At 54.3% G+C, this 17329-nt stretch overlaps 1 protein-coding gene across 1 annotated transcript in view, besides 3 other annotated features; it reads left to right on the top strand.

The window, feature by feature from the left end:
* The first annotated feature begins 4249 nt into the window (after positions 1-4249).
* Positions 4250-17329, top strand: part of IP6K3 (inositol hexakisphosphate kinase 3) — a 40484-nt gene continuing 27404 nt past the window's right edge. The window contains exons 1-3 of the mRNA XM_024446324.2: positions 4250-4912; positions 10621-10818; positions 13574-13658. The gene's annotated coding sequence lies outside the window, so the exon portion shown is untranslated. The remainder of the gene's footprint in view (positions 4913-10620; positions 10819-13573; positions 13659-17329) is intronic.
* Positions 4622-5225: an enhancer, noted in NCBI's record as "H3K4me1 hESC enhancer chr6:33728947-33729550 (GRCh37/hg19 assembly coordinates)". NCBI's record gives its function as "activates a minimal SCP1, AML or CMV promoter by ChIP-STARR-seq in naive H9 embryonic stem cells {active_cell/tissue: H9 hESC(naive)}" and the evidence as "EXISTENCE:reporter gene assay evidence [ECO:0000049][PMID:30033119]".
* Positions 13911-14469: an enhancer, noted in NCBI's record as "H3K27ac-H3K4me1 hESC enhancer chr6:33719703-33720261 (GRCh37/hg19 assembly coordinates)". NCBI's record gives its function as "activates a minimal SCP1, AML or CMV promoter by ChIP-STARR-seq in naive H9 embryonic stem cells {active_cell/tissue: H9 hESC(naive)}" and the evidence as "EXISTENCE:reporter gene assay evidence [ECO:0000049][PMID:30033119]".
* Positions 15028-15587: an enhancer, noted in NCBI's record as "H3K4me1 hESC enhancer chr6:33718585-33719144 (GRCh37/hg19 assembly coordinates)". NCBI's record gives its function as "activates a minimal SCP1, AML or CMV promoter by ChIP-STARR-seq in primed H9 embryonic stem cells {active_cell/tissue: H9 hESC(primed)}" and the evidence as "EXISTENCE:reporter gene assay evidence [ECO:0000049][PMID:30033119]".

Here is a 17329-nt window from a genome sequence, read left to right as displayed (position 1 = left end):
GGAACTGGGGGCAACCCTGAGGGATAGGAACAGCTCATATACAGAGTAGTCACTGAAGCCATTTGCCAAAATTCTGGCACCAGAAAAGATTAGATTTCCCCACCCCTTTGAAAGTAGGCATGGCCATATGACTTGCTTTAGCCAAAGAAATGTGAACGGAAGCGACAAATGGCACTTCAAGACACAACCATTAAGAGCCCCTTCTTTGCCTCTGTCAGGGCATGGTGCTGCAGCTGGGGGCTGCCCCTCAGCCTGGGTCCCAGAGCAACAGCGACTGGGAGCAGGAGCTCTAGCTGCCCCATAAGGTACCGTGTGATCAAGAAACCAACCGATGTTGTCATAAGCCACCAAGAATCCAGGGTTTGTTACTGCAGCACCCGATGGCCCGTGATAGCCGGCACAGGTAACTGGCCATCGCCATCTTCCGTGAGGGGAGGACACACACTCGCATTGCAGTAGGGGAGGCGGGGGAACACCTGAGTCCTCTACCCACCAACATTCAGTGCCTGGAAGGTGGGGAATGGATGTGAAGACTCCGGAAGGCGTATCCAGGCCGTAGGATGTTTTGGCTCTGCTAAGCCTTGGTGCAGAGACCAGGGCAGTGTCTGGCAGATTCTGTAGTGAGGCACTGCAGCCAATCCCTCCAAGCTGGCTACCCTCGCTGTGCAATTACCACCTACACAAGGTCTGGAGTCCCCTGAAGAGAAGAATGAAAGAAGCGGCGCCCAGTAGGTGCATAGGCAAGGAGTCCTCATGCCACGCAGCCATGCCAGCTCCACCAGCAGCAGCCAGAGCCGCAGCAGAGAGGATGAGGCTGCACGTTTGGGTGCTGCACAGGCAGGTTAGCAGTGAAGGGAGGGCCACACAGCAGTCCCAGGAGAGCCGGGGCCCATGCCAGCCAGTCAGCTTTGACCAAAGCTTGGTGGAAGAAGCCAGCAGGGCCCAACCAGGTCAGTCAGTGGAAGTGGAAGTGAGGTAGGGTGGACATCTCAGAGCGTCCCATCCCACGCAGGGACTCATGTGCACAGCATGCTGCTGCTCAATGCAGGCCCTGTGTGGAGCAGGTGCCCACGATCCCCACCAGGATCTTTTTTTTTTTTTTTTTTTTTTCTTTTTTCTGAGACAGTCTCGCTCTGTCACCCAGGCTGGAGTGCAGTGGCGCGATCTCAGCTCACTGCAAGCTCTGCCTCCCGGGTTCACACCATTCTCCTGCCTCAGTCTCCCGAGTAGCTGGGACTACAGGCGCCCATCACCACACTCGGCTAATTTTTTGTATTTTTAGTAGAGATGGGGTTTCACCATGTTAGCCAGGATGGTCTTGATCTCCTGACCTTGTGATCCGCCCACCTCAGCCTGCCAAAGTACTGCGATTACAGGCCCCACCAGGATCTTGAAGGTGACTGGACAGGAGTGAGGAGCCCGGGCCAGAGAGAGGGAAGTGTGTGCGTGTGCGTGTGTGTGTATGCTCGCATGTAGGCACACTGACACGCACGCGCACGCCTATGCTCCAGCCACCCAGTGGGGGGAGGGGCTTCCTCTGAGACAAACCTGCTCCATGTACTTTATCAAATTTGCAGATGCCACACAGCTGGAGGGAACGATGGCAAATATGCCAGATGACAGAGCTGGGATCTAAAGAGAAGCTGACAGGCGGGAGTGATGAGGTAGATCTAATGAGATGAAACTTAACAGGGACAAACATGTTTATTTCACCTTATTTATTTACTTGTGTCCTGCCTCCATGTGCTGAGGAATTGGGAGGAATGAGGCTCACAGGAGGAAAAAAGTGAAACACCCGCCACCGTCGGGGCCACAGACCTGACTGCACAGGCCTGAGGTGGGGAGTGGGTGGGGGGCTGAGGTTGGTGTGGGCTTGGGGGTTTAATGATGATGGTCAGTTCTATGGGCAACAGTGGCTGGCAGGGGCTGGCAGGGGCAGGGTTGGTCTGCGGCTGCATTAATAAAGGTGTAGCACCCAGGCTGGGGAGGGCAGTGGGGGCTCAGGAGTCAGGGCACCTGGGTTTGAAGCCCAGGATCTGTTGGGCAGGGACACAGCTTCCTCCACACCCTGTCTCTCCTTCCCTGTGGCCCAGGCACCACCAGCCCTCTCTCTCTTTACACATCTCCCTTGCAAGTCTGGCCTGGGCCTCTGAGATCCCCCAAAGTGCAGGGAAAACAGGTCAGTTTTACAAGAACTTTCTCTCCACTCTCCCACCAAAGCTGACAAGGCCGGGCTTGAAGTTTCAGCAGCAGCTGAGGGTTGGGAGTTAGTTACGTTAGATACCTCTCTCCCTTCTGGAGGGCACCTCCCAGTTCTCCAAGGGGGTTCTTACTGGCCCTCTCTCTTGGCTCTGGTTGGGTAGAAGGTTCAGCAGGAAGATGGTCACTTGTTCTAAACATTATAGGAGGGAGGGTTAGGCTGGTTCTGAGGACGCCTAAGGGGGCAGGGCTGGGCTTTGTGAGTGAACACCTCTGAAAACAAACCCCAGCTCTACAGGAGGAGGAAGGCTTTGGGCTGCCCTAAGAGGTAGTGAGGCTTAGGTCACTGGAGGTATGTAAGCAGAGTTACATGGTCACTCGGCAGGGACGCTAGCCCTGAATGGATGGATAGAGCTGGATGCATGCACTGAGGTCTTGCCCTACACTGAGATAGTGTGATTCCAGGCAAGCTTTTGATGAAAGCTGGGCCGAGTTTCTCACCCGCAGGAATCCAAATCCTCCTGAATGTGGTACTTCTCCCTGGGGAGCTGTGTGCCTGGTCTCCGTGTTAAATTGAGAAATGGAAGGGGTTTGAGGTAGCAGCCAGGCTGAAGTTCCTGAGCATGACTGCAGAACTGTGGCCCTGGAGTGTGGCCAAGGGTCACAAAAGGAAGGGGGACTCCAGACCTCTGGGAACCAGAACTGCCCGGAGTCGTCCCACCCCTCATGCTCCCACACAGCTCCTCACTCCGCATGTGACCTTGTGCTCCAGGGAGGCTGGAACCTAGAAAGCCCCTCCATGCCCTTCCCTGTTCCTTGTCCTCTGAGGGGCAATGAAGTCTGTACCCCAGCCCTGCCCTCTCAGCACTACTGAGACCCCAAAAGAACCTGGTGTCTGCTGGGCAGGGCCGGGGCACGAACCTGTAGGAAGATGTCACCCCCATTGCCGCAGCCATGGTCATCTTGCCAAGGGTCAGTGTGAGAGCAAGCCCAGACCAGCCCACCAAATGCAGACTCCCGGGGCCCTGCCAGGCTCTGAGTGAGGACCTCAGGTCTGGAGGAGAGGGGAGCAGTAGGATCAGACCCCTCTTCACTGAAGACCCACTAACACCACATGCAGATATGACCCCATTATCCCCTTCCCTCCTTTTCCCTCCCTGTCAGAAGATAAGGAGGGAGGGGGCAGGTGGCTCACTCCTCACTCTTTGCTGTCCCTGGAGGGCTTCCAGGAGGCAGAGTCAATCCAGCTGCAAGGTCTGGAGGAGGAGGAGGAGTGAGTTCATGTTGGGGCCACAGGGCCTGGTGGGGAAATAAGAACCAGCCAGAGAGGGACAAGCAGATGGTGGGTGTGGGATGGCAGTGCCGTCCACAGCACAGCTGGCAAGGCCTGGGCCCTGGATTCCAATTCCAAGTTCAGTGGCTTCCTGACTTCATGGCTGGGTGGCCTTAGACGACACGCTTTCTCTGGGCCTCACGTTCCCATCTGTATAATGGGAATGACACAGGCACCAATCTCACAGCTGTTGAATGGATTAAATGACATAGTGGACAGCGCCTGGCACACAGACAGTATCTGTTGTTGTTATTGTTATTATGAAAACATGTGACTACAGACAGTATAACTAAGAATAACAGATAGAAGTAACTAATATTCAGACTTCAGCTAATGATAAAGAACTTTTCAGAGAGGCAGAAGTGTCTCTCACTGGAGCAGGCTGTGCAAGGTGCTGAGCCCCCTGTGCTGGGAGCATTCAAGCAGCAGATCCTTGTGGAGAAATGCCTGTGTGGGGAGGGTGTGCGAGGGTAGCCAGCAGGGGTCAGCAGTGCAGCAGGAGGGGAGGAAGGCCAACCTCCCTACCAGTTCTGGGGACAGGAGTGACACCGGGGTCAGGCTGCCTTGCTTCAGGGCAGAGTCCCCAGTCACTGGCCCTAAGCCCAGGCTGACAGCTTCTCACAAGTGTCATGCAGGGGTCAGGCCAGGGCAAGGACAGCAGCCAGGCTGGGCTGGGGCCACGGGAGAGGGGAGCTCTGAGGCCTCCAGTGAGGAGCCCCAGGCTGAACACACAAGGGCTCCGGGCAGGCTGTGGGGCTGAAGCAGGGTTGCTGGCGTCCCAGGAGACAGAGCTCTGGGTTCAGGCCCCCAGAAGGGTCACTCGTGTGGCCAACATGGGGCCTGCTGACCAGGCTCTCTGTGCCTGAGCCTCCCAGCCCTCTGTGCTAGGGCTGAGATCTTCTTCCCCTTCTGAGTGCCACACAGCAGGCTGCCAGGGTCCGTCGAGCCCCATCCCCAGCACTGAGCCCTCTCAGCTCCACTGGGGGTCTCCTGGGGCCAGGAGACTGAGGATGAGGAGACTGGGCCCTGGGAAGGCCAGGGATGCAACCCTGTCCCCAGACCCTCATCCCAGCTGGCTCGGCCAGACAGAGACACCCAGGCTTCTCCCTCTTTGGCCCTGCAGGCCTGCAGAGCATGGGGCCTGAGACAAGGCTGCCCTGGAGAGAAGGTGACAGGCAGAGTATGAAACTGTCCCCCACTCTGGAGAGGAGGGGAGAGCCTGATACATCCCTGCAGCCTGCCCTGGTGCACAAAGCCCCCAGAGCCTACTACTGGGGGCCCCAGCAGAAGATGAGGGGCTTATTGCTGCATCTGACTCTTGGAGGCTCCCATTCAGAGAGAGCAGCTGCATCCCCAGCGACTGAGGTGGGCTAAGTCCAGGTAAGAGCTGGCACTGTCTCACAGCTGTGGAGTCAGATGCAGAGGTGGCTGGGATGCCCTCTGCCCACTGCGGCCTGGCCAGCCCCGGCCCCTCAGGAGTGGGGGTGGATCTTTCCTGGCCTCCCCTGGGGGAGGCTGTATCAGAGCAGGGCAGGCAGGAGAGAAGGGGACGGGCTGAAGGCTCAGCAGAGAGGGCATGGGTCCCTGGCAGGTGGGCTACTTTGGAGCTTAAGGAAGCTGATGTCCCCCACCTCGACTCCCACCCCAGGAAATGCTCTGTCGAAAGGGGAGAGTGACCCAGCTGACAGTTCCAGGAGGGATCTTAGGGCTTCAGGGTGGCTCCAGGGACACAGGGGAGGTTCCCTGCCAAAACCAAGCCAGAGCCAAAACAAATAAAACCTCCCCTAAGAGGAAGAGGCCTGAAATCCCACCGTTAAAGATTCATTCCTTTAGCTTAACACTTTGTCCTTTTTAAAAATGCAAACCTCTCAGAGTCTCACCTACAAGTAGGTTTGTCAAAGGAGAGAAGAGGATGCGTAGTCTCGTGGTGAAGAAGAATGGCAGAGGCCCATCGAGAGAGCAGGCGGGGGCTCCCAGGACTTCCTTTGTGGGCTACACAGCTCTGGCTAACGGCCAGCTCTAAAAACATCTGCAGGGGCCCAGGCGCGATGGCTCACTCCTGTAATCCCAGCACTTTGAGAGGCCGAGGTGGGCAGATCATGAGGTTAAGAGATCGAGACCATCCTGGCCAACATGGCAAAACCCCGTCTCTACTAAAAATACAAAAATTAGCCGGGCATTGTGGTGGGCACCTGTAGTCCCAGCTACTTGGGAGGCTGAGGCAGGAGAATCGCTTGAACCCAGAAGGCAGAGGTTGCAGTGAGCTGAGATCGCACCACTGCTCTCCAGCCTGGCAACAGAGCAAGACTCCATCTCAAACAAAACAAAACAAACAGGAGAAGGAGGCTCTGAGTCTCCCCATTCTGTTCCTGTGTGCAGGGAGTGAACAGACTCACGCCCCTCCACTGAAGACACCATTCACACAGGCACATGCCCTCACATACACGTCAACATGTGCACACCTGTGCACACACGTGCATATGAGAAACTATATATGCAAACCTGCACCCTCACCCTTCAGGTCATGCATTCAACATGGAACCTGGGAAACATAAGACCCTGAGCCTGGATGACCCATGGGGGAAGGGAAGGGGTGCAGTCTCCACTGAGCACTCCTAACACCTCTCCAGGGGTGGCTACCATGAGCTACATCCCACCCAGGGGTTGCTTTCTAATGTAGGGTCAAAGCTTCTAGCTAGTGAGTATATATGGAGCATCAGCAAGCTGCTGAAGAGCCCTTGTGATAGCTGAGAGATGGAGCAATTAACCCCTTAGTGCGGATTAGTTTTTCACATCGGCATCTGTCTCTGACCTCCCGCAGGCTCGCAGGCTCAGTCCCTCTCTGAGTCCTTAGCCATGCCACCTGTGCTGATCCACCTGCACTGCGCATCCTTTGGTGCTTCAGCAGGGCAAGGTGGGGGGTCCACATTGGTGCATGGACCCATATACTAGGGGCTTCTGTTTTTCCTTTCCCCTCCTTTTTTTTTTTTTAGACGGAGTCTCACTCTGTCACCCAGTCTGGAGTTCAGTGGCGCAATCTTGGCTCACTACAACCTCCGCCTCCTGGGTTCACGCCATTCTCCTGCCTCAGCCTCCCAAGTAGCTGGGACTACAGGCACCCGCCACCACGCCCAGCTAGTTTTTTGTTGTTGTTGTTATTTTTAGTAGAGACGGGGTTTCACCGTGTTAACCAGGATGGTCTCGATCTCCTGACCTCATGATCCACCTGCCTTGGCCTTCCAAAGTGCTGGGATTATAGGCATGAGCCACCACGCCCGGCCTTCCCCTCCCTTCTTTTTTTAAAAAGATAAGTTTGTTATAAAAGTGACACATAGCTGGGCACAGTGACTCACGCCTGTAAACCCCACGCTTCGGGAGGCCAAGGCGGGTGGATCGCTTGAGCTCAGGAGTTTGAGACCAGGTCAACATGGCAAAAACCTGTGTATACAAAAAATTAGCCAGGTGTAGTGGTGCGTGCCTGTAGTCTCTCCGCGGGAGGCAGAGGTTGCAGTGAGCCAAGATCGCGCCACTGCACTCCAGCCTGGGTGACAGAGCGAGACTCTGTCTCAAAAAAGAAAAAAGTGACATGGACATAACTTTTAAAAGTCAAATAGGACTTCATGGCTATGAAGAAAGAACATCTGTCCCTTCCCCAGCCCCAGGCTTACTTCCACCTCTGTTGGCCGACTCAGTTCTATGTAATATGCATACACGACAAATTTATGGCTCTTTTATTTTCGATTTTATCTATTGACTTAGCAAAGATTGTATTTTAACTTCCCATTAGGAGGATTTAACGGGCCCACTGCCCACTCCTCCTCCCCCATCCTGCCTCTGTACTTACACTACAGTTTTTATTAACTCAGCATCCCATGTTTACATTAGTGTTACGACACGTAAATATTATTCTAGCTGAGCCATACAGCATATTAGGATTATATTTCCTTTAATGTAAAACTTTTTGGGCAGGGCACAGTGGTTCACGCCTGTAATCCCAGCACTTTGGGAGGCCAAGGCAGGTGGATCCCTTGAGGTCAGGAGTTCAAGACCAGCCTGGCCAACATGGTGAAACATCGTCTCTACTAAAAACACAAAAAGTAGCCAGGTGTGGTGGCACGCACCTGTAATCCCAGCTACTTGAGAAGCTGAGGCAGGAGAATGCTTGAACCTGGGAGGCAGAGGTTGCAGTTAGCCAAGTTCGCGCCACTGCACTCCAGCCTGGAGAACAGAGTGAGACTCTATTTCAAAAACAAAAACAACAACAACAAAAAAAACTTTTTGGTTCCTAAAGTTTAATTTTCCTGTTGGTTGTTGTTTATTCCCTGAGGTTTCTGTTTTTGCTTTTGAGACAGGGTCTCACCCAGGCTGGAGTGCAGTGGTGCCATCATGGCTCACTACAGCCTCAACCTCCCGGGCTCAAGAGATTCTCCCAAGTAGCTGGGACTACAGGACTACAGGCACGTGCCACCACACCTGGCCAGTTTTTTTGTTTTGTTTGTTTGTTTGTTTTTTGAAGAGATGGGTCTCCCTAAATTGCCCAGGCTGGTCTCAAACTCCTGGGCTCAAGTGACCCTCCCACCTTGGCCTCCCAAAGCGCTGGGATTTACAGTCCTGAGCCACCAAGCTCCGGCCCCTGAGCTTTCTATGCATCTTCATCAGTTTATCCCCAAACTCTCTGACCAGACTTTAAACCTCCTCTCCAGGTAGTCACATACCTCCGGTAATCTGATCAGTCTGTTGTTCCTTTGGCGGCACCTTCCCTCCCTGGAGCGCTCTCCAGGCCTGCAGAGCCCTGAGGCCCTGCGACTCGCCTCCACCACTCTCCAGAATTGGACTTCCTGCCTCCCAGACGCCACGCCATTCTCTTTCTTGGCTTCTGTCCTCATTTTGGTGGAGGGCATTATCTGAGAGCTTTCAGCTGATCCCCCCTGCCTCGGATGTATGTGAGGCTTCCAGTTTGAGAGACTTTTACCTTGTTTCTTGTTGGATCCCTTGATGGCCGGCCCGCCTCAGAGTGGAAAAAGCTGGATGGGAGCTAGTTACCACCTGTCTGTCTCTTTTCACCTCTCTGAGCTGCAGTCTCTCATCTGCAGTCTTCTCTGGCTTATTCTCCCTGTCCTTGCAGGCACACACTTTTTCATCCTTTGCTATCACATTTAGTTGGGTTCTTGGATATAGTACTTAGTTCACGGTGGGGATTAACTGGAAGCATATCTCTGATTTCTTATTATAAATCCCACGAGAACTAGCACAGTGCCTGGTACCTAGCAGGTGCTGCATGGATGGATAAATGAACAAATGAAGGAATGACAAAGAGACAATCCTCTACCCTCAAAAAGCTCACGGCCCAATTGGGTGGAGGATGCAGATTGGAGGGAACCAAGGCACCTCTGTACTTACACTACAGTTTTTATTAACTCAGCATCCCATGTTTACATTAGTGTTACGACACATAAATATTATTCTAGCTGTGGCACCAAGGCGCCTCTGGAACTCAGCAGAGGGCAAGAACATCAGCTGCACAAGCAGGGAGGGCTCCCTGGAGGAGATGGCCTGCTGATCAGGATAAAACATGGGAAGGCCAAGAAGAGGAGAGAGGTGGATGGAGGGAGTCGCTGGACAAGGATATCTGGGCAGCCAAGTTCAGGGAGCAGGTGGGGAGGTGAGGGAGGAGGGGCTCTCAGACTGGGGCCAGACTCACCCCATCACCAGGGGAACTGCCACAGCCTGGGTTGGGGCATGAGGAAGGCTGTGCCTCAGAGAGGCCAGGTGTGCAGAGGATAAGGGTGTCCTCCACGTGAGAGGTGAAGGCTGAGGCAGTGGCCGGAGGGGCCTTGCAGCAGGCGAGCAGCAGTGCAGTGAAGACCAGGACAGATAAGTTAGAAGAGGAAGACCTGGAGGTACCTGTGGCCCCCGTACTGGGAAGAGTGCAGCCAGCACGAACCTACAAGTGCCCCGCAGGTGGCGGTGGGGCTGCAGACCAAGACGGTGTTGCAAACACAGCAGGGGACACGCCTTGAACTGGGTTTTCTTCCTGGTTTGGTCACTTACTAGCTGTGTGCTCTTAGGCTAGTGACTTACAGCCCCTAGGACTCAGTTTCTCCATCTATAAAATGGGGATAGTCTAGCCACATCTCTCTACCTCCACTGTCTGCACCCCTGTCACCTCCAGCCTGACAAATGCAAAACATCCTCACTGGCCCCGTTTCATTCCTTGACCCCAAGGCTGGCTTCATGATACACGAAATAAGTTCCATGCTCAGAAGGGCCCCAAGATTTCATTTTGCACTGAGCTTCACAGATTGTTTAGGATTGACCCCTGTCCACTCAAAGGAGAAGCCAAAGAGTCTCTCTCGCTCTCTCTCTGTCTCTCACACACACACACACACAGACCCCTCTGACCCTCTTCTCTACCTCTCTCCCCTGGCTTCCTCTGCTCCAGCCACACTGGCCTCCTGACTCCTGCCCCTGGGCCTTTGCACTTGCAGCGCCTCTTCCTGGCCTCCTCTTCCCACATCTACACACTGGCAATCCTACCTCCTCAAGTCTCTGCTCAAAAGACACCTCCGCCAGGCCTTCCCTGACCCGCTTATTTAACACTGAAACCCCCAATACACCCCATCATTAATTCACTGCATTTTTTTTCTCTACCACACTACCATCTACTTTCTACTTGTTTTACTTTTTAAAAAAATTTTAGGCTGGGCATGGTGGCTCACGCCTGTAATCCAAGCATTTTGGGAGGCCAGGGCAGGTGGATCACCTGAGGTCAGGAGTTCGAGACCAGCCTGACCAACATGGCAAAACCCTGTCTCTACTAAAAATACAAAATTAGCCAGTCATGATGGCACATGCCTGTAATCCCAGCTACTTTGGAGGCTGAGGCAGGAGAACTGCTTGAACCCAGGAGGTGGAGGTTGCAGTGAGCTGAGATTGCACCATTGCACTCCAGCCTGGGTGACAAGAGCAAGACTCCATCTCAAAAAATAAATAAAATAAAATAATAAAAATAAAAAAAATTTAGCTGTCTGCCAGTTAACATCAATGGTTTTTATTGGTTTTGTTCCCTGCTTAACTCCACTACCCAGATCTGTGCCTGGCCTGGAGAGGGAGTGCAGCCATGCGTGCGGAATGAGTAGATGTGGCGATGTCTCCCCAGAGCCTCACAGCGGGGGGGACCCCCAGTGGGTGTGGCAGGCAGCCTGTACATCGGGCTTGGCAGGTGAAGAAACAGGCCTGGAGCTGCAGGGAGGGCCACCACACAAAACACAGGACCCCACTGAAATGTGAGTAGCACGGGATTAAATTCAAATGTGACTGGGTGTCTGGTATTTCTATTTGCTCTCTGGCCACCTTAAGGACTTGCCTGTGGTCACCTCCAATTCAGTCTAGACAATTCAGTCTAGACCCAGCCTCCCAACCCTGCCCCCACACTCTCCATCTGCTCGAGGCTGCCCTTCCCGGCACTGCCTTGGGGACACTGTCACTGCCCCAGTCTGGGAAGGTGAACTGGCTTCTCGCCTTCTAGGCCTAATTTTATCTGCACCTGCAGGGGCTGGAAAGGGCACCAGAGGAGCTCTGGGGGCTGAGCGGGCCCAGGCCTGCAAGTGGCCTCCTCCGGCCTCAGAACTTGGGGTCTGGGTTTCTGCACTGGCCTTGTCCAGGGGTGCAGGCAGTTGGGGCACAGCTAGGCTAAAATAAGAGAGACGTGTGAGGGAGAAAGTCTGCAGGGCCTTAAGGGTCCTCAGGGCTCAAGAGAGCCCCACGACCCTCTGGGACCCCTGTGGCCAGGTCTCACTATGTCTCACCTGATGGCTGCGGCAGCTTCCCAGGGGATTCCCCAGAATCTCAGAACCTCCCAGGGGACTCTCAACCCTGTGTGAGGAGTCAGAAGCCTGTGTCTCAGTTTCCTCATCTGTGCAATCAAGGGATAATAATGGCACTTTCCTCACAAAGTTACTGGAGGATTGACTGAGTTGATACATATTCATGGTTGTAACAGTGCCTGGCACATAATAAGGGCTTTATATGTGTCTGCTGACGTTGTCGTTACAGACGTTGTGATCTGAACCCCTGCTCTCGCCACCAGGCTCCAAGCATCCCCTGCCCTCCTGGGTCTTCCCAGTCCCCTCACTGTCTACAGCAGCCTCCGGGGCCTTCCTGGGGCAGAGATGGGGCCATGGGGAGTGGGATGCCCAGAGAACAAATTCCCTGACCACCAACCTGCCCAGGTGCAGGGCCAGCTGCCAGGGGACAGTGTGTGGGCAGGCCAAGGATGGATAGCAGCTTCAGCCCCGCCAGCCCAGCTCAGCAGAAACCAGGGCCGACAGTAATGGGCTGGCAGCCCCCAGCTGCAACCAACTTCATTTTCTGCCACAATTAAATGATCGCCCGCATTTGCTCACCCTCACTTATTCAATTACTTTAGCGGCCCTGAAGGACTCTCAAATAAACAGCCATAAATAACACGCGTGGCCGCCCCCTAGGCTATCATCCCTGCCCAGCAATCACAGCCCCAGCCCCGCACCTTCCTTCCAGCAGAGAGATGCCGCCTTGCACCTCCCCATTCCCCAAGTTAATCCTCCTCAGCTCCCACCACCCACGTCTGAAAGTCCAACCCCCAGCAGGAGACTCTGCACATCTGGGTCCTCACCTGGCTCTCCCCCGGCCCAGCTGGGTATATCTGGGGGGCCGCTCCCTCTGGGGACTTCTATGTCCTCATCTGTGGAATCCATGTTATTAAAAATAATAGGCCACCGGGCGCGGTGGCTCACGCCTATAATCTCAGCACTTTGGGAGGCCGAGGCAGGCAGATCACGAGGTCAGGAGATCAAGACCATCCTGGCTAACACGGTGAAACCCCGTCTCTACTAAAAAATACAAAAAATTAGCCAGGCATGGTAGCGGGCACCTGTAGTCCCAGCTACTCGGGAGGCTGAGGCAGGAGAATGGCGTGAACCCGGGAGGCAGAGCTTGCAGTGAGCTGAGATCGCGCCACTGCACTCCAGCCTGCACGACACAGCGAGACTCTGTCTCAAAAAATAAAATAAAATAAAATAAAGTAAAGGCCAAGCATGGTGGCTCATGCCTGTAATCCCAGCACTTTGGGAAGCCAGGGCTAGGCAATCCCTTGTGGAAAGAGGAAAAGTCCACGTGAGCTATAAAGTGTTGTCTTGGCAAGGAGCTGCAGTCCTGGCTTCAGTTGAAATGGGCACCCCTGGAGAGGGAGGAGAGATGAGGTATCCTATCTGCCTCCATCCCCACTCCCACCCCAGCCACCTTGAAGCCTTCCAGAAATGCCATGCTCTTCCAGGCCTCTGGGCCTTTGTGGATGCTGTTCCCCTTGCTGTTCCCTTCATTCACTTCTCTGCTTGGAGACTACTACAGGAGTCCTTCAAGGCCCAGCTTGGATGCCCTCTCCCCTAGGAGGCCTGCACTCCACCCCCATGGCAAGTAGATTAATCTCTCCTACCCTCTGCTCCCACAGCAATTTACGTGTCTCTTGGATTTGGGGGACAATGCCAGATTCAAATATTCTGAGCCACGACATAACCATGTCAAGACATAATCCGAAATCACAGTTAGAAAGTATGACAACCTCATTTCCACTTCCAGAGACCAAGCCCCATGTTATTAAAAATAATAGGTCAAGCGTGGTGGCTCATGCCTGTAATTCTAGCACTTTGGGAGGCCAGGGCAGGAAGATCTCTTGAGCCCAGGAGTTCCAGACCAGCCTAGGCAACATAGTGATACCCCCAACTCTACAAAAAAATCCACAGTGGTGCACATCCACAGTCCTGTGTCCTTAGATGGCTGAGGCAGGAAGATCACTTGAGCCCTGCAGTGAGCCATGACTGTGCCACTGCAATCCAGCCTGGGCAACAGAACATGAGCCTGTCTCTAAAATATAAAAAAATTAAAAAATAACAATACTCAAGATTTTGGGGAATGCTGTTTGATACACTGTGCTAAATGCTTTTTACTTGCATTATATCATGGAAACATCACAACAGTCCAAAGAAAATTATCCCCATTTTACAGATAAGGAAACTGAGGCCCAGTGAGGTTAAGACGCCCAGCCATAGTCACATCACCAGGAAATGGCAGAGTGAAGAATGGAGCCCAGGTGAGTCCACATCCACAGTCCAGCCTGGATTCTGTGCAGCAGAAGGAACTGGCCATTCTGAGACTGGGGTTTAGTTCTGGCTCATCCACTAGCCACCCTGCAACCCCAGGCAGGGCCTCTCACCTCTTTGCAGCCTAACTTTGTCTCTCCTCTCCTGGAAAATGAAAGGACTGTTATCAGGTGGCCTCTCAGGGCCCCTCCAGCTGTGGTGTTTCAGGATTTTCTTTCTTTCTCTAAAGGACTGCTCTGAGCAGAGCCAACAAAGCTGTCAAACCAACAAGAGTGGCAGGCTCAGGCATGCCCTGGGGAGATGCTCAGGGCAGGGTCCTCCCAGTCTCCCCCTCGTGCCTGGAAGGCAGGTGGCAGCCTGTTCTCTTGAGGAAAGAGGCCCTCCACCCTAGAGAAGGCAGCAAAGTTCTCCAAGGACCAGTGGGCAGGGCGGGGCCCCAGCTGGCCACCTTCCTCCTGCAGTCCTTGATGTCAGCCACCGTGAAGGCCTTGTAAATGTTACACACAGATTGTTTGTGGGACAAAGGAGACACGGGGTGGAGTATCAACGGCGTGTAATTGGCTTCTCAATGTCACACATTGGCTCTTGCGTGGATTAAAAGTCCACAAGAACCTGACTTCTTGAGCACTGTCCTGGCCTGGGAGGTGGCAGCTTTGGGTCCTCTGCGTCCCAGCTCCCCATGTGACCCTCAGCAGGGATATCTTTTCCCTGGGCCTCAGCCAGATGTGGTGTGGTCTGGGGGGATGTGGATGAATGACCCAGCGCTGCTGGGAGAGCTAGCCCAGTGCCAAGTCCCCAGCCTGTGTCCACATGCAGGGGCAGTCATCTCCTCCCCTCCTCCCAGCCTTCTCCAGGCCCAAACATGGCGCCGGGCTTGGCTGGGGAAGTGGAGGGGTGACCCGTGCCTTCCCCGTTGGGTGGAGACGTGTCTTTGCACCAAGGTGTGACCGAGGGCTGCCGGAAAATGAATCCGTGTTAGGAGTGGGGGCCCCAGATTCAAATCCCGGCTAGGCCACTCTGTTTCCTCTGCTGTGAAATGAGGGGAATGATGGCCCCTCCCTCACAGGGCTATTGTGAGGACCAAACGAGATAAAGTGTGTGAAGAGCTCAGGGCAGGGCCGGCCCTCTGCCCCTAACCTGCTTCTACTGATCATGGCCATAGGGTGGGCATGGTGGCTCCCCTCACACCTCCCATTCCCGGGGCCAAACACACACACACACACACACACACACACACACACACGGCCTGCAGAGGTTGTCTGTCCCTGAGGACCTAAGTGGTAACACCCTTGCTTCCCAGTCAGTGGGGCCATCTGCCTTCCAGAGAGAGTTTATCACCTCCCAGATTTTGCAATCTGTGGCTCAACAGCTCATCCTCCCACATTCCCGGCTGTAGTGGTCTGGGCCGGCCCTTCTACCCCAGTATCTTCAGCTGTTGGGGAGCCCGACAGGGCAGGCTCTGATGCAACGACCTGAACTGGATCCAACACCCAGGCTGGAAGCTCCCAGGTGGGGCTGGGAGCTAGGGGCCAGGTCAGGCCAGCAGGGATGTGATGATAGGGAAGCCACAAGCCGCCTAGCCACAAGGCCCCCCCTTGCTGCAAAGGGCTGGACAGTGACCTCTCTCAGGGCATGCTCCATCCTGCACTTTCTAGGGAGTGGGGCGGCGGGGAGGAGAAGGAAGGGGAAGGTGCTATGCCAAGCTGGGGTGCAGCGAGAGGGGAGCCCAGCATGGGAGGAGGGGCTTTACTGGAACCTGGGCAGGTCTGTAGCCGCCACCCATGTTTACACTGTGGGAAGGGGTGATGACATGTCCTAGAATGAGGTGGAGGTTGTTGTCTCTAGGGCAGGAACACTGGGTCATGGGAGCAGGGACAGGGGCAGCTGTTGAGGAGGGATGATGCCACAGAGCCACAGCAACCGAGCCAAAGGCCCCCATTAACTGGGGTCAGGGAGAGGAAAGGAAACCGCTGTTGTGCAAGCCAGAGCATGGCGAGCCCAGGAGGGAAAGCCAGAGACCCAGAATGTGTCCACGTGTTTATCCACTCATTCATTCATTCACCAAACAAGTACTGGAAGGCTGGCGCTGGGTTACATGCTGAGGACATAGCGTTGAGCAAACTGAGCCAAGTCACCATCCCCAAGGAAGAGAGACAGGCAAGGAGCAAGTCACACACATAAATATGCAACTACAGCTGGCATAAGCACTTCTAAAAAAAGGGACGAGGTGGTGGACTGTGTCAGAAAGGGCGGGGAGGGCTTCCTGGAGGTGGTGACACTGGAGCTGGAGCTGGCATCTGAAGGATGAAGAGGAGTTAACCAGGTGTGAGGTGGGGCTGAGGAGGTGGGCAGGGGCTGAACGCTGGGGGTGAAATTTGGACTTTATTCTAAGGATGGAGCCACTGAAGAGTATTAAGCAGCAAAGTGACGTGACTTGAATTGTTTCTAAACATCACTCTGGGGAGAATGGCTTGTAGGAGCAGGCTTGTAAAGAGATGTGGGAGAACATGAGGAGCTACTGAAGTCATCCATGACCACATGGTGGGCCAGGCCAGGGCCATAGAGATGGAGAAAAGGGGACTAATTTGAGAAATGTTTGGGACATGAAATCCACAGGACATAGTGATGGATGAACAGCCAGGGAAGGCAGCAGTGAAGTGGGAAGTCCTCAAAGGTCAGTCCAGGCTGGGGAGGGAGAGGCCAAGGGGGAGCTGGCCAGAGAGAGACCTGCCCACCAAATAGTAAGTGCATGCCTATGAGCCCAAGGGGTTTTCTCCTCCGAATGGTGGCATCTAAGGGCTGGCCTAGGATGCTCCAGTCCACAGAATAGTGAGTGCCACGCTGGTCAGGACTGATTTCCAGAAGTCAGGACCAGGCTAGGCCACTCTTGTTTCCTCCACTGTGAAATGAGGGGAATGATGGCCCCTCCCTCACAAGGCTATTGTGAGGACCAAACAAGATAAAGTGTGTGAAGAGCTCAGGGCAGGGCCGGCCCTCCCCCTAACCTGCTTCTACTGATCATGGTCATAGGGTGGGCATGGTGGCTCCCCTCACACCTCCCATTCCCGGGGCCGCGCGCACACACACACACACGGCCTGCAGAGGTTGTCTGTCCCTGAGGACCTGAGTGGTGGCACCCCTGCTGCTTCCTAGTCAGTGGGGCCATCTGCCCCACTGACTAGGAAGCAGCAGGGAGCAAGGTGGGTCACAGACATGGCTATGGAAAGATGCATAGCAGCAGGCATCTTGGAAGGGAAGCTGAGCTTTGGGGAAACGACCATGGAGAGAAATTGGCTGAAGTTGGAAAACAGAAATAAAGTGCCCTATTTGATTGCATAAGGAAAGTACCAGTTCTGGACGGTGGGGCCCTGTGTGTGTTTACTGCTGTATGTCTCAGATCACATATTAAGGGCTCGAAAATGTTGTTACATAAATAGAAGAATAAGAAGTCAATATGGAACCTTGCTCTTTACAACAGCAGCAAAACAAACGCAGAAAGCAGGTGGTGGAATGTGGACAGGCCCTCCTGGAGACCTGGGGGCCAGGGCACTCACTGGCCATCTTGCTCAAGTGGGAAGTCCTTCCCCCTCTAGAACCTGAAGGGCCTCCTGCTCATCCCTGTGGTGGTTCTGGGATTCCCAGAATAGGGATGTGAGTCCAG

This window comes from Homo sapiens, chromosome 6 (assembly GCF_000001405.40).
Source record: "Homo sapiens chromosome 6, GRCh38.p14 Primary Assembly".
In the NCBI taxonomy this organism is placed as follows: domain Eukaryota; kingdom Metazoa; phylum Chordata; class Mammalia; order Primates; family Hominidae; genus Homo; species Homo sapiens.
This window is presented reverse-complemented; position numbering and strand designations above follow the sequence as displayed.